The sequence below is a fragment of the Homo sapiens genome, chromosome 12 (assembly GCF_000001405.40).
Source record: "Homo sapiens chromosome 12, GRCh38.p14 Primary Assembly".
Lineage (NCBI taxonomy): Eukaryota > Metazoa > Chordata > Mammalia > Primates > Hominidae > Homo > Homo sapiens.
Genome location: NC_000012.12, coordinates 20,843,897 through 20,858,236, shown reverse-complemented (window position 1 = coordinate 20,858,236; position 14,340 = coordinate 20,843,897). Strand labels below are relative to the sequence as shown.

Below are 14,340 nucleotides of genomic sequence, written 5' to 3'. Positions count from 1 at the left end.
TATGCAAAGAAAGCACTTGGGTAATTTGGCTATATGAGAGAAGCAAAGTTTTTTTTTGAAAATTTGGAGTTTACTGGATTGCATTGGAATGGAAAATGTCTTCCTAATCTGAGGGAAAGATAATCATTCATGCATATTTTAAACTTATTCTAGGCATTCTTTAAATTTATACTATGTACCTACCACAGTGCTCAGAGTCAGAAATATAAAAAAAAATCGTGGTACTTGTTCTCTAGAAACACACTAGTAATAAAATAAAACAGATGGATAGATGTGCTATTAGATTATGGAAATAGGGAGCTTAAATTAATTAGGGGCTTTGTGAAAGTTTCCTGGAGGATACATTATTTGAGATGTAATGTTGAGTATAAATTATTTAGATTAAAACATGGAAGAAGAGCAATAAGAGTAGACCAATTCAGATTTATCTGTAGCCTTATATATAACATTGAACAGACAATAATCAAGAATTATTGAACACTGATGGAAAATAGTTTCACGAAAGAAAGCACCAGAATGGACCAGCAGATAAAGCAACACAAGAATAAATACTTAAACAATATTAAACTAAAAAGAGTAGAAACTTTTTTTAAAAAAAATCCTGTTAGTATATTTAGAGGTAAAATGGCATGTTGCAGCCATAGAATCAGAACTGGCAGACTAAAAATAATAAGACAACAATAAAGTGTTGTTATAAATTTAAAATATAATTAAAAATTTACAAATTAGAACTTGATATAAAAGATGACATCACACATCAGAGAAAATTGATGAAACATAAAGAAAAGAGGTAGAAATTCAGAGGAAAAAATTTTAAAGGAAAAATATTCAGAAAATATATTATTTATCTCATACATGTTTCAGAAGAAAAGAAAGAATAAAATACAGGAAGAAACAAATAGGAAACAGAAAATAAAGTTTTTGTGTTAGAGGAAGACGTAAGCTTTCATATGAAAGTTCCTACGTTTGTCCAGCAGAAATAACGTAGAAAGATAGAGTCTCGGATACATGCTAGTAAATTTTTGGATATTTAAAGATAAAAAAGAGATGCATATCAGTGCATGAAAATTACAGTGGTAATAATTTCTCATATACAACATTGAATGTTATAAAACAGTAGATGAATATTTTTAATGTTTTGAGAAAAAGGGATTTGGAAATTTTAATTCCATACCCAGACAAATTATCAATTAAATATGATACTAAAATAAATATTCCAACAGGCAAGGGCTTAGAAAATATGCCACGTTTTCAATTCTTCCTAAAAAAAAATAATTACAGTCATCCCTCGTGTCCACTGGTTATTGGTTCTAAGATGCTCTGTAGACACCAAGATTTGTGGATGCTCAAGTCCTTTAGGTAAAAAGGTGTAGTATTGCCTGGATGTGGAGGGTCACGTCTGTAATCTCAGCACTCTGAAAGGCTGAGGCTAGCAGATCACTTGAGGCTAGGAGTTTGAGATCAGCCTGGCCAAATGGTGAAAACCTGTCTCCACTTAAAAATACGAAAATTAGCCGGATGTGGTGGCACACGCCTCTAATCCCAGCTACTCGGGAGGCTGAGACAGGAGAATTGCTTAAACCCAGGAGGTGGAGGTTGCTGTGAGATGACATCAGGGCACTGCACGAGCATGGGCGACAGAGGGAGACTCTGCCTTGAAAAACAAAAACAAACAAACAAAAGATGTAGTATTTCATAAAACCTATCAACATCCTCCTGTATGCTTTATATCATCTCTAGATAACTTCTAATACTTCTAATACAATGTAAATACTATGTAAATAGTTGCTATTCTATGTTGTTTTTATTCGCATCATTTTTATTAATATATGGCCATTTTTAAGTTTTATATTTTTTGAATGTGACTTGCATCCGTGGGTGTGGAACCTGTGGATACAGAGGGTCATCTATACATGAAGGTATACTCCAGAAAGAGTAAAGATGAGATTTGCAGTCATAGGATTCAAGAAATAGAGGTAAGAAACCAAACTGATAATGATGTTCAAATAATTGCTGTTAAATAGCTGCAAAGTTTAACAAAAATGTTAAGGATTAATTTCATAATAAAAATAGACATACAGTGAATTAAACGTTAAAACTAATAACATTCCAATTCTAAAATTCTAGATGATTTCATTGAGCCTGGGAGGTAAACAAGTGAAGGACATGTAGAGTGTCATATCTTTGAATCACAAATATTCTGAATTTATATAAAGAGATAAATCTTCCTTTGACAATTACATTTTAGTCATTAGTTAAGCATTGTGTAAATACAGTTAGAATAGAAACATGAATTGTAGAAAATATTTGCAGTCTATATAATAGACAATTTGGTGGTCCCTCCAAATAATTAGAAAGTGAAAAGAAAAAGGGAAAATTAGCAGAGGCTATAAGCTAGCAGTTTGTAAAATAAGAAAAATTTTAATTTTTCTTTGAAAAATTATTATATTGAAAATATATTATTTTCAATTATTATATAATATTTTCAATTATTATATAAAATCTCACTATTGTTGGAGAAATCCAAATTAAAATGATTACATCAAAGCAGTATCTTCAATGTTCAAAAAAAAAAAAAGACTTTAAACCCCCAATGTTGTACACAGTTAAACAGTAGAATCTAGTGTAGGTTGCTCCTATGCAGTCCTTCCACCTAAAACCATAAGAATTATCGTCCTCCCTCAACCTTTCTTCACACTGGGGCACCTTGAGACAAGGGAGATAAAGTTTCCTAAAAAGTTAATTTGCAAACCATGAGTTTGTGTAGGACCAGAGTTTTTCAACATCCTCACTATAGACATTTTGGGAAGGATAATTCTTTGTTGGTAAGTCTGTCTGGTGCATTGCACAGTGTTTAGCAGCATACCTGACCTCTACCCCTAGGTACCAGTGGCATCCTCCCTGCCCCAGCCCATTTATAGCAACAAAAATATCCTAACATATTGCCAAATTGCCCATGAGAGACAAATTTACACCTAGTCCAGACCCAGTGATATAAAGCATGCATGAACAGTTTGTTTTTCAACTTATGCAAGTATGGTTATCAAATAGAAAAAATAAAAGTTACCAATTTCAAAGCTTCCATCAATTAAACCAGCAAGAGAAGAGGATATGTCAAATCTCCTTTCTATTTGAGTGATGGAAATTTTCATAATGATTCCACCTAGTGCTTTAGCAATATAGCTGAATGACAGGGCTGCCAAGAACATCTAAAAACAATAGAAGAAAAAATGAAAATTGGTTAATCAAAGAACTATATAATGTTTATAGGTACATGGAACTAAAACAGTTTTTCTTCTTTACTCGAAAACATTATCATAAAAAAATACCCATTTTTCCCTATACAAGTTGAAACTTCTCAGCCCTATAATACTATCATCAGTACACTACTAAAGCATGATTTTCTAACTTGGTTACAACATTCGATTGCTAGAGGAGTATAGTTAAGGTTGCTATTTTTAAACTAATTTCATTAACTGATTTATAGGAAGCTAGACACTGTTCTCAGATGGCCATGATGGTGAGCTATTTTCTTTATTTCCATGTGAATAGCCCTGGCTAACTGGGAGGGGAATGGCAGTGCATGCAGGAGTAGCACTTTCAGGAAGCCAGCTGAAAAATAGAACTTTGTGGAGGCAAAGAGGAATTTTATGACCAACACAAGTGACTGTATCAAGACAGACAAAGGTATCCGATGCAAACAGGAACCTAAAGAGAGCAGGTATGTCCATAATCATATCAGAAAAACTAGATTTTATGACAAAATCTGTCTCAGGAGACAAAGGACATTATAGCGGCATAAAATTATCAATTCACCAGGAAGAGCCAACAATTATAAATAGATCTGCACCTAAAACTAAAGCAATGAGATATATGAAACAAACATAGATACAACTGAAGGAAAAATGGACAGTAACATAATAATAATAATGATACTTCAATATCCTGCATTCATTCATATACAGAACAACCAGGGAGACTATCATAGGAATCAAATGACTTGAACATGATAGACCAATTAACCTAACAGACAAATAGAGCACTCTCTATCAAATAACAACAGAATACATCTTTTCTCCAGCAGAAATGGAACATTCTCCAAGATAGACCACCGTGGCCCACACAACAAATCTTAACAAATTAAAAATGTTGTAATTATATTAAGTATCTTTTCTCCTACAGTGCAATGAAAATAGTATTTAAAAGCAGGAATAAAACAAGAAAATCCACAGATATGTGAAATTAAAAAATTCTTTCTTACACAACCAATGGGTCAAAGGAGGAATAACAAGAATTAATAAAATATCTGAGGAAAAATGAAAATGAAAACACAAGAAACCAAAACTTATGTGATGCAGTGGAAGCAGCACTAAAGGGAAAGTTTATAAATTGATATTAAGGAAAGAAAAATCTCAAATAAATAACATAACTGTATCCATCAAGGAACCAGGAAAACAAAAACAAACCTGAAATTAAGAGACGAAGAAAATATTAAACATTAGAGTAGAAAAAATAAAATAGAAAATAAACAAAAACAACAGAAAAAAATTAATGAACCCAAGTTGGTCTTTTGAATATATCAACAAAACTGAGAGACCTTTAGCTAAAATAAAAAAGAGAGAGAGACTTAAATAGCTAAAATTAGAACTGAAAGAGCAGGCATTACAACGGCTGTCTCAGAAATTAAAAAGAATTATAAGAGATGACTATGAACAATTATAAGCCAACAAACTGGAAAACATAGAATAAATGAATACATTCCTAGAAACATACAACCTACTAAAATTGAATTATGATTCAATTTTAAAAATCTGAACAGAACTATAATTAGGACATTGAAGCAGTATCAAATACTTCCAAAAAAGATAAAACCAGTAACCAATGTCTTCACTAGAGAATTTTACCAAACTCCTAAAGAATAAGTAACACCAATACTTTTGAAAGAAACTCCAAAATTCACTTAATGTGGCCAGAATTACCCTAATACCAAAATAACATAAAGACAGAAAAAAAGAAAACTACAGAAAAATATTCCTGGTGAATATTGATACAAAACTCCTAAATGTAATACTAGCAGACTGAATTCAACAGCATATTTTAAAAAATCACATCATGATCCAGCAAAATATATACCTGGAATACAAGGATGGTTTAACATACAAAATTAAATCAGCATAATACATCACATTCACTAAATGAAGGACAAAACCACATGATCATCTCAATTAATGCAGAAAAAACATTTGACAAGATGCCCACTCCTAACATTAATATTAATTCAACCTACTGCTGGAAGTTCTAGGAAAAGAAATTAAACAAGAAAAAGAAATAAAATGCATTCAGATTGGAAAAGAAATAAAATTATCTCTGTTCACAGATGACATCATCTTATATGTAAAGATTCTACCAAAAAAAATTTAGAAAAAATAAACACATTTAGCAAAGTTGCAGGACACAAATCAACATTCAAAATTAAGAAGTGTTTCTATGCACTACCAATGAACATTTCAAAAGGAAATTAAGAAAATCTCACTAGATCATAAAAAAGATAAAACACTTAGGAATAAACTTAAATGACAAAGTGAAGATTTTTACACTGAAACCTATTAAATATTACCAAAATAAATAAAACACAAATAAATGGGAAACATTCAATTCTCATAGATTGGAAGATTTAGTATTGTTAAAACATCCATACTATCCAAACTCATCTACAGATTTTAATTTCAATGCCATTTAATTTTTTAAATTTTGAATTTTTACAGAGTCTTGCTCTGTTGCCCAGTCTGGAGTACAATGGAGTGATCATGGCTCACTGCAGTCCCAACCTCTTGGGCTCTATCAATCCTCCCACCTCAGCCTCCTCAATAGCTGGTACTACAGCTGTGCACCACTATGCCTAACTAATTACTTTTTTTTAAAGATGTGGCATCTTGCTGTGTTGCTTGGACTAGAGCTAGTCTCAAACTTCTGGCCTCAAGTGATCCTCCAGCCTCAGACTTCCAAAGCCCTGGGGATACAGGTATGAACCACCATTCCTAGCCAGCATTTGTATAGAAATAGAAAAAACAAATATAAAATTTACAGAGAATCCAAAGGCACCCTGCGTAGCCAAAATAATCTTGAAGAATAACACAGCTGGATGCTTCATATTTCCTGTTTTCAAAATATACTGCAGAGCAACTGTAATTAAGATGGTGTGTACTGAAATAAAGATAATCATATAAAACAATGGAATAGAATAGAGTTCAGAAATGAACTGTTGCCTATATGGACAAGTGATTTTCAACAAGGGTGCCAACACTGCATGACAGGGAGAGAACCAGTCTCTTCAACAATTGATGTTGAGAAAACTGGGTATCCACATACAAAGGAATGAAGTTGACCCATTGTCTTACACCATATGTGAAAACTAACTCAAAATGGGATTAAATGCCTAAATGTAAGACCTTACACTCTTAGAAGAAAATACAGAGAAAATGCTTCAGAACATTTGATTTGACAATAATTTCTTGAGTATGACACCCAAAGCACAGGCAACAAAATAAAAAATAGACAAATGTGACTACATCAAACTTAAAGACCTCTGCACATAAAAAGAAACAAGATGAAAATTTAACCTATAGAATGGCAGAAAATAATTGCAAATCCCATATTTAATAAGGAGCTAATACCCAGAATATATAAGTAACTTCTGCAACTTAACAACAACAAAAAACAAATAATGCAACTAAAAAATGGACAAAGGACTTGAATAAACATTTCTCCAAACAAGATGTATAAATGGCCAATAAACATATGAAAAGATGCTCAACATCACTAATCATAAGGGAAATGCAAATCAAAACTACCATGAGCTATCACCCCACGCTCATCAGAATACTCACTATTCAAAGAAAAACAACAAATGTTAATAAGTATGTGAAAAAGTTGGATCCACTGTGTTTGTTGTTTGAAATGTAAAATAGTGCTGCCATCATGAAAACTAGTTTGGAGTTTTCACAAAAAAGTTACAAGCAGAATTACCATAGAAGCCATCAATCCTTCTTCTGTGTATATATTCAAAGAAATTCAAACTGGGATCTTGAAGAGATTTTCACACACCCACGTTCATCACAGCATTATTTACAATAGCCAAGAGGTAGAAGCAACTAAAATGTTCATTGACAAATGAATAGATAAATAAAATATGATAATGCAAATCAAAACCACAATGAGATATCATCTCATGCTAGTCAGAATGGCTATTATTAACAAGTCAAAAAATAACAGATGCTGGTGAAGTTGTGAAGAAAAGGGAACACTTATACCTTGATGGTGGAAGTGTAAATTAGCTCAACCATTGTGAAAAGCACTTTGGCAATTTCTCAAAGAACTTAAAATAGAATTATCATTCAACCCAGCAATTGTATTCCAGCAACATGGATGAAGCTGGTGGCCATTATCCTAAGCAAACTAACACAGGAACAGAAAATCAAATATTGCACGTTCTCACTTATAAGTGTGAACAAAAAATTAAGTACATATGGATACAAAGAAGGGAACAATAGACATTGTGGCTACCTGAGGGTGGAAGTTAGGAGAATACAGCGAATAGAAAAACTACCTATCAAGTACTATGTTTATTACTTGGCTGATAAAATAATCTGTACATCGGCCGGGCATGGTGGCTTACGCCTATATTCCCAGCGCTTTGGGAGGCCGAGGCGGGTGGATCACGAGGTCAGGAGATCGAGACCATCCTGGCTAATGCGGTGAAACCTCATCTCTACTAAGAATACAAAAAAAAATTAGCCGGGAGTGGTGGTGGGTGCCTGCAGTCCCAGCTACTCAGGAGGCTGAGGCAGGAGAATGGCGTGATCCCGGGAGGCAGAGCTTGCAGTGAGCCGAGAATGCGCCATGGCACTCCAGCCTTGGCGACAGAGCGAGACTCTGTCTCAAAAATAAATAAATAAATAAATAAATAAATAAATAAATAAAATAATAATAATAAAAATAATCTGTACATCAAACATCTGCAACACACAATTTACCTATATAACTAACTGGTACATGTACCCCTGAAGTTAAAATAAAAGTTTTAAAAATTTTTTTCCAACTTTGTTATTTTTTCAATATTATTTTGTTTATTTGGGGACCCTTGCCATTTCATATGACTTTCAGTATGGATTTTTCCATGTCTGCAAGAAAAAAAAAAAAAAAAAGGCTGTTGGGATTTAGATAGAATGTGCGGTAAATCTGCAGAGAAATCTGGGTAGCACTGTCATTTCAAAAATACTAAATTTTATAATCTATAAACACTGGATGTTTTTCCATTTATGTGGGTCTTTAATTTTTTAAGCAATGTTTTATAGTTTACAGTGTGTGATTTTTTTTAACCTTTTTGTTTAAATTTGTTCCTATATATATTTTTGAGATGCTATGATAAATGGATTTACTCCTTTAATTATTTTTCAATGCTTATTCCCGGTGTACAGAAACACAAGTAATATGTGTGTGTGTGTGTGTGTGTGTGTGTGTGTGTGATTTTCTACTATGTAATTTTTCTTTATTTATTAGCTCTAGTAGATTTCTTGTGGATTCTTTGGGCTTCTCTTTACATATAATTATGTTATCTGTAAATAAAGACAGTTTTCCTTCTTTCTAATTTGAATGCCTTTTGTTTCTTTTTCTTGTCTAATGGATCTGGCTAGAACTTCTAGAACAATCTTGAATAGCATTAGTAAAAATGAATATTCTTGTATTGTTTTTAATTACAGGGACAAAACTTTCAGTCTTTCAATATCAAATATGATGCCAGCTGAAGATTTTTCATAAATGCCCTTATCATGTTGAGAGAGGTCCCTTATATTACTAGTTTTCTGGGTGTTTGTGTTGAGAAAGGGTGTTGGATTTGTGTCAAATGCATCTAGTAAGATGGTCATGTGGCTTTTTTCTTTGCTTAATATATTGCATTCCTTTGAGTTTCATGTATTTAATCATGCTTAAATTTCCAGGATGAATCCATTTTTGTTATGGTGTACAATCTTTTAAATGTGCTGTTGGAATTAATTGGCTAGTATTTTCTTGAAAAATTTTTTAATATACTTAATAGACTTTATTTTTTAGAGCAATTTAGATTCACAAAAAAAAAATTTGACCATAAATTACAGAGAGCTTCCACATATTCCCTCTATCCACACACAGTTTCCCCTACTATTATGTTTACCTTCTATTGGTGTGGTACATTTGTTTACACTGATGAACCAATTTGGATGCATTATTACATTAGGGTTCACTTGGTGTGTTTTACAGTCTATCGATTCTGATAAATGTATATTGATAGGTCTTCTTCATTACTGTATCATAAAGAATAGTCTCCCTTACCTAAAAATCCTCTGCACTGTTTCTTTCTTTCTTCCTCTCTTCCTCAAACACTTGGCAACTACTGAACACATTCCTTTCTTTAGATTTTTCTTCTCCAGAATCTCATATATTTGAAATCTTACAATATATAACATTTTAAGATTTGCTTCTTTGCTTACAGTTATGTTTTGGATGTCTTTCCATGTATTTTTATGACTTGATGTTCCATTTCTTTTTAATCACTAAAAAAAATTACATTGTTTGACTGTATCACAGTTTCTTTACCTATTCACCTATTGAAAGATATCTTGGTTGCTTTTAAGTCATGACAATCATGAATAAAGCTGCTATAACACTTGTGTGCAGGCTTTTATGTGGATATAAGTTTTCAAGTCATTTGGGTAAATACTAAGGTCTATGACTGCAGGATTGTACAGTAAGCCTGTCTTTAGATTCATAAGAAACTATCAGATTGTTTTACAAAGTGGCTCTACCATTTTGCATTCCTACCAGCAATAAATGAGAATTCTGGTTGCTCCTCATATTTGCCAGCATTTGGCATTTTTTGTGTTTGGAATGTTACTCACTCTAATAAGTATGTAATGAAAGCTCATTGTTTGAATTGGCAATTCACTATTGACATATTATGTTGAACATGTTTTCATATAGTTGTTTACCATCTGTATATGCCCATCAGTAAGGTATCTGTTCAGATCTTTTTCCCATTTTATAATTGGCTGTTTTCTTATCATTGAGTTTTAGTGTTCTTTGTAGATTTTGAATATCAGCCCCTTATTAAATATATCATTCACTAGTCTCCATAGTTTCTGACAAGAAATTAGTTATTAATCCTATGGGACAGCACTTGTACATGATGATTCCCATTCTAGCTGCTTCCAAGATTCTGTATTATTATTATTATTTTGACTTTTAATGGTTTGATTACAAAATATCTCAAAGTGAATTTCTTTCAGTTTTTTTACTTGGAGTTCCTTAAGCTTCTAGGCTATTGAGATTTATGTCTTTCATCAAATTTGTGGTGTTCTCAGCCAGCCCATTTTTCAAATATTCTTTTTTCCCTTTTCTCTCTCTATTCTCCTTCTGAAATCCCTGTAATTTGTATCCTGGTTCACCTGATGGTATATGACAGGTCCTTAGGTTTTGTTCACTTTTCTTCATATATATATATATATTTTCTGCTTCTCAGACTGAAATTTTCAATTGGCCTATCTTAAAATTCGATGATTCTGTATTCTGCCTGCTTAAGGTTGCCACTGAACTTTGGTTTTAGTTCAGGCTGCTATAATAAATTACTATAGACTAAATGGGTTGAGAAATAAACATGTATATTTCATAATTCTGAAAGCTGGGTTGTCTGAGATCAAGGGGCCAACACAGTTGAATTCTGGTGAAGGCCCTCTTTTAGGTTGAAGACAGCTAGCTTCTACTCGTACCCTCACAGGGAGGGAAAAATTTAGTTGGCTTTCTCACATTATCTAAGGGCACAAATCCCATCATGAAGGGTTCCTCTCTCATGATCTATTTACCTGCCAAAGGCCTCAAATACCAACACCTTGGGCTCAGGGTTTCAATATGTAATTGGCAAGGAAGGCACAAATATTCAGTCCATAACTCTTTTCTTATAAATTTTTATTTTAGCTATTTTTTTTTTAATTCTTCCACCTTTGGTAAGCCTTGGGCTGAGCCTGAGGATCAGCCTTAGGTAAAAGCTTATGGTCTTCTCAGGTGTTTTACAAGTGAGTCTACTACCCTGGGCATATGCGAGGCTTTCTAAATACCTCCAGGAACATGAAGTGCTAGCTTCACAGTAAGCTTGATAAATTTCTATTTTTATTAAAATTGTGAACTACCAACCTCCAGCTCTCTGCTTTAAGTTCATTCAAATAAAAACAAAACAGAGATACAAATGTACATAATTGTCAGAGAGATTTTAATGTGTCACTGGCAGGAAGAGACAACTGGCATCGAGATAAGAGGTAAAGTCTCTATCTACCTGCAGTCACGGCAAGCTGTTCATTAGTGTAATACGGTAAAATTTCTGGACTTAACAGTCAGAAGACAGTTCTAAGCTTCTACAGTTTATTTTATTTTAAAAAATAACTCCCCTGCCCCACTGAACCTTCTCTTTCCCATAACTCTCCCTTGTGTCCTTTCCAGTAGAAGCTTAGACTTGACTACACCTGCATGACTCAAATCCTGTTTTTTGCATCATTCCTCACAAGTATCCATGGATTATGTTATTCTGGTTATCCCCTGTTCTTCCAGGGATTTGTTTCAGACACTCTCCTCTTTTTACTTCATATACTTTTTCTGGGCAAACTCACTCATTGTCATTGTTTTTATTACCATCTGTTAAGGACTGAATGTTTGCATATCCTTCAAATATATATGTTGATGGTTTTTGTTTTAGCACCTGAGCTGATTAAAACACCAACACATAGTTTGCAATTCCAAGTCAACGAAGTTAAATACCTTATAAAACAAAGAAACTAACTAACTAACTAAAGAATAACACTCTTTGGAAGAATATAACAATGTTCAAAATTATCCACATGTGAAGGTCCAGGAAAATGTGAGATATTCTCATGAGAAATGACAATCAACAAAAACCAACCCATAGATGGCACATATGTTGGAATCACTGACCAGAATTTTGAAAGAACTATTCTAACTATTCTCTTTGATATAAAGGAAAACAATGTCATAGTAAATGAAAATATAGTGAATGTTACCAAAGGAAGTAAGCTATGAAAATGAAAAAAAATTGGAATATGTGAAATAAATATGTGTAACTGTTGTTGCTTTAAAGTCTGTTTTATCTGATGTAAGAATAGCTCCTGCTCACTTTTTGATTTCGATTTCCACAGAATGGAACAACAGTTAAAAAAAAAAAAAGACAAGGAAGATGATTATATAATGATAGAAGAAATCAATCCAACAAAAAGAGATTAAATTTTTATGCACCTAACAATGGAGCTCCCAGATTCATAAAACAATTACTACTAGACCTAAGAAATCAGTAGACAGCAACACAATTATAGTGGAGAACTTAAAAACTTCACTGACCGCACTAGACAGATGATCTAGAGAGAAAGTCAACAAAAACAATGTACTTAAACTACACTCTAGAACAAATGAGCCTAACAGATATTACAGAACATTCTACCCAAGAACTGCAGAATATACATTCTTGTCATCAACACATGGAACATTCTCAAATATAGATCATATGATACATCACAAATCTCAATTTTTTTTTTCATATTCAGGCACCTCCAAACATATTTTCTTTATTTCCTCCAGAGAACAGGCTTTAGTTCTGAGGTCCTTGTAAACATTTAACACAAAAGAACAAACTGAAGCATCTATATCCTTGCCCTGTGTTGCTGGGGTGAGTTTACACAAGGAGAAGTTGAGACAAATGCGGTAGTCACAGGTGAGCTTCTTACTCAGTTCAAAGTAGGTCTTGGGATGAGAGTCCCATATAGCCAGGACAGCTGACTTTCTGTGATTTCCAAGGGGCGCCCAAGACATTAAGGACTGATGATGTTTCTACTCATTGTTGATCAGGGTCAAACCTTTTCACTAACTGGGGCTGCTCTTTCCAAGAGGTCAGAGGTCAGAAAGCTGGTAGAATCATACAAGACCATCTTAACAGTATGTGTAGATCTGCTTCTCCCATGTGGCTACCTTGTACATAGGGTCACAATCAGCCCGGTGAGCTCAATGACATAGTCTAAGTCTTGCTGGATAATAAAATGGCTTCCATCACCTTGGTTAGCAATGAATCCATCTCTGAAACTTAGAGGGATAGAACTGGTGCTTTTTTTTTTTTTTTTTTTTGAGACAGTCTTGCTCTGTCACATGGACTGGAGTGCAGTGACACAATCTTGGCTCACTGCAACTTCTGCCTCCCGGGTTCAAGCAATTCTCCTGCCTCAGCCTCCCGAGTAGCTGAGATTACAGGCATGCACCACCACACCTGGCTAATTTTTGTATTTTTAATAGAGATGTGGTTTCACCATGTTGGCCAGGCTGGTCTTGAATTCCTGGCCTCAGATGATTCGCCCACCTTGGCCTCCCAAAGTGCTGGGATTACAGGCATGAGCTACCACACCTGGCCGAATAATTTTTTTTAATTGAAATCATATCAACTATTTTTTTCAGACCACAGTGGAATAAAACTAGAAATCAACTCCAGAAGGAACTCCTAAAACTACACAAATACATGGAAAATAAACAATCTGCTCCTGAATGATTTGGGGGTTATCAATTAATGCAAGATGGAATTTTTTTTTTCTTTGAGACAGATGCTTGCTCTGTCAACCAGGCTGGAGTGCAATGGTGTGATCTCGGCTCACTGCAACCACTGCCTCCTAGGTTCAAGTGATCCTCCTGTCTCAGCTTCCCAGGTAACTGGTACTACAGGGGTATATGCCACCATGCCTGGCTAATTTTTGTATTTTAGTAGAGAGGGGGTTTCACAACCTTGGCCAGGCTGGTCCTGAACTCCCAACCTCAAGTGATTCGCCCACCTCAGCCTTCCAAAGTGCTGGGATTACACGGAGGAGCCACTGCGCCTGGCCAGAAATTTTATTTAAAAATTTGGAAATACATACATATATATATGTAAGGTATCTTTATATAACTTACACTTATGTATATATAAATATCTTTAAGTTTAAGGTATACAAAGTTTAAGGTGTATATATACACACACACACATATATATACACACAACTTATATACTATATATATATGTTTAAAGTGTACAAAGATTTTAATTAAAATTAACAATAACTTAATAATGAATTCCTTAAAAGGAGTATAATAAGTTGAAGAGGAGAAAATTTAAAAAATAAAATAAATGCACATTTTCCAATATTCAACAAAAATGTGAAAACCTCAGATTGAGAGTGCCTGTTGAACACCCAGCAAAAGACATAGGGACACACATATATATGGAGAAAGTTT

At 33.8% G+C, this 14,340-nt stretch overlaps 2 protein-coding genes across 3 annotated transcripts in view; both read right to left on the bottom strand.

Moving 5' to 3' along the window:
- SLCO1B3 (solute carrier organic anion transporter family member 1B3) overlaps positions 1-14,340 on the bottom strand; it is a 106,207-nt gene that overhangs the window by 58,675 nt on the left and 33,192 nt on the right. For both annotated transcript variants that reach the window (NM_019844.4, NM_001349920.2), the window contains one exon: positions 3,068-3,209. In NM_019844.4, the coding sequence (NP_062818.1) occupies positions 3,068-3,209 (142 nt within the window). The remainder of the gene's footprint in view (positions 1-3,067; positions 3,210-14,340) is intronic.
- SLCO1B3-SLCO1B7 (SLCO1B3-SLCO1B7 readthrough) overlaps positions 1-14,340 on the bottom strand; it is a 275,549-nt gene that overhangs the window by 232,986 nt on the left and 28,223 nt on the right. Inside the window, exon 2 of the mRNA NM_001371097.1 lies at positions 3,068-3,209. Coding sequence (NP_001358026.1) covers positions 3,068-3,209 — 142 coding nt within the window. The remainder of the gene's footprint in view (positions 1-3,067; positions 3,210-14,340) is intronic.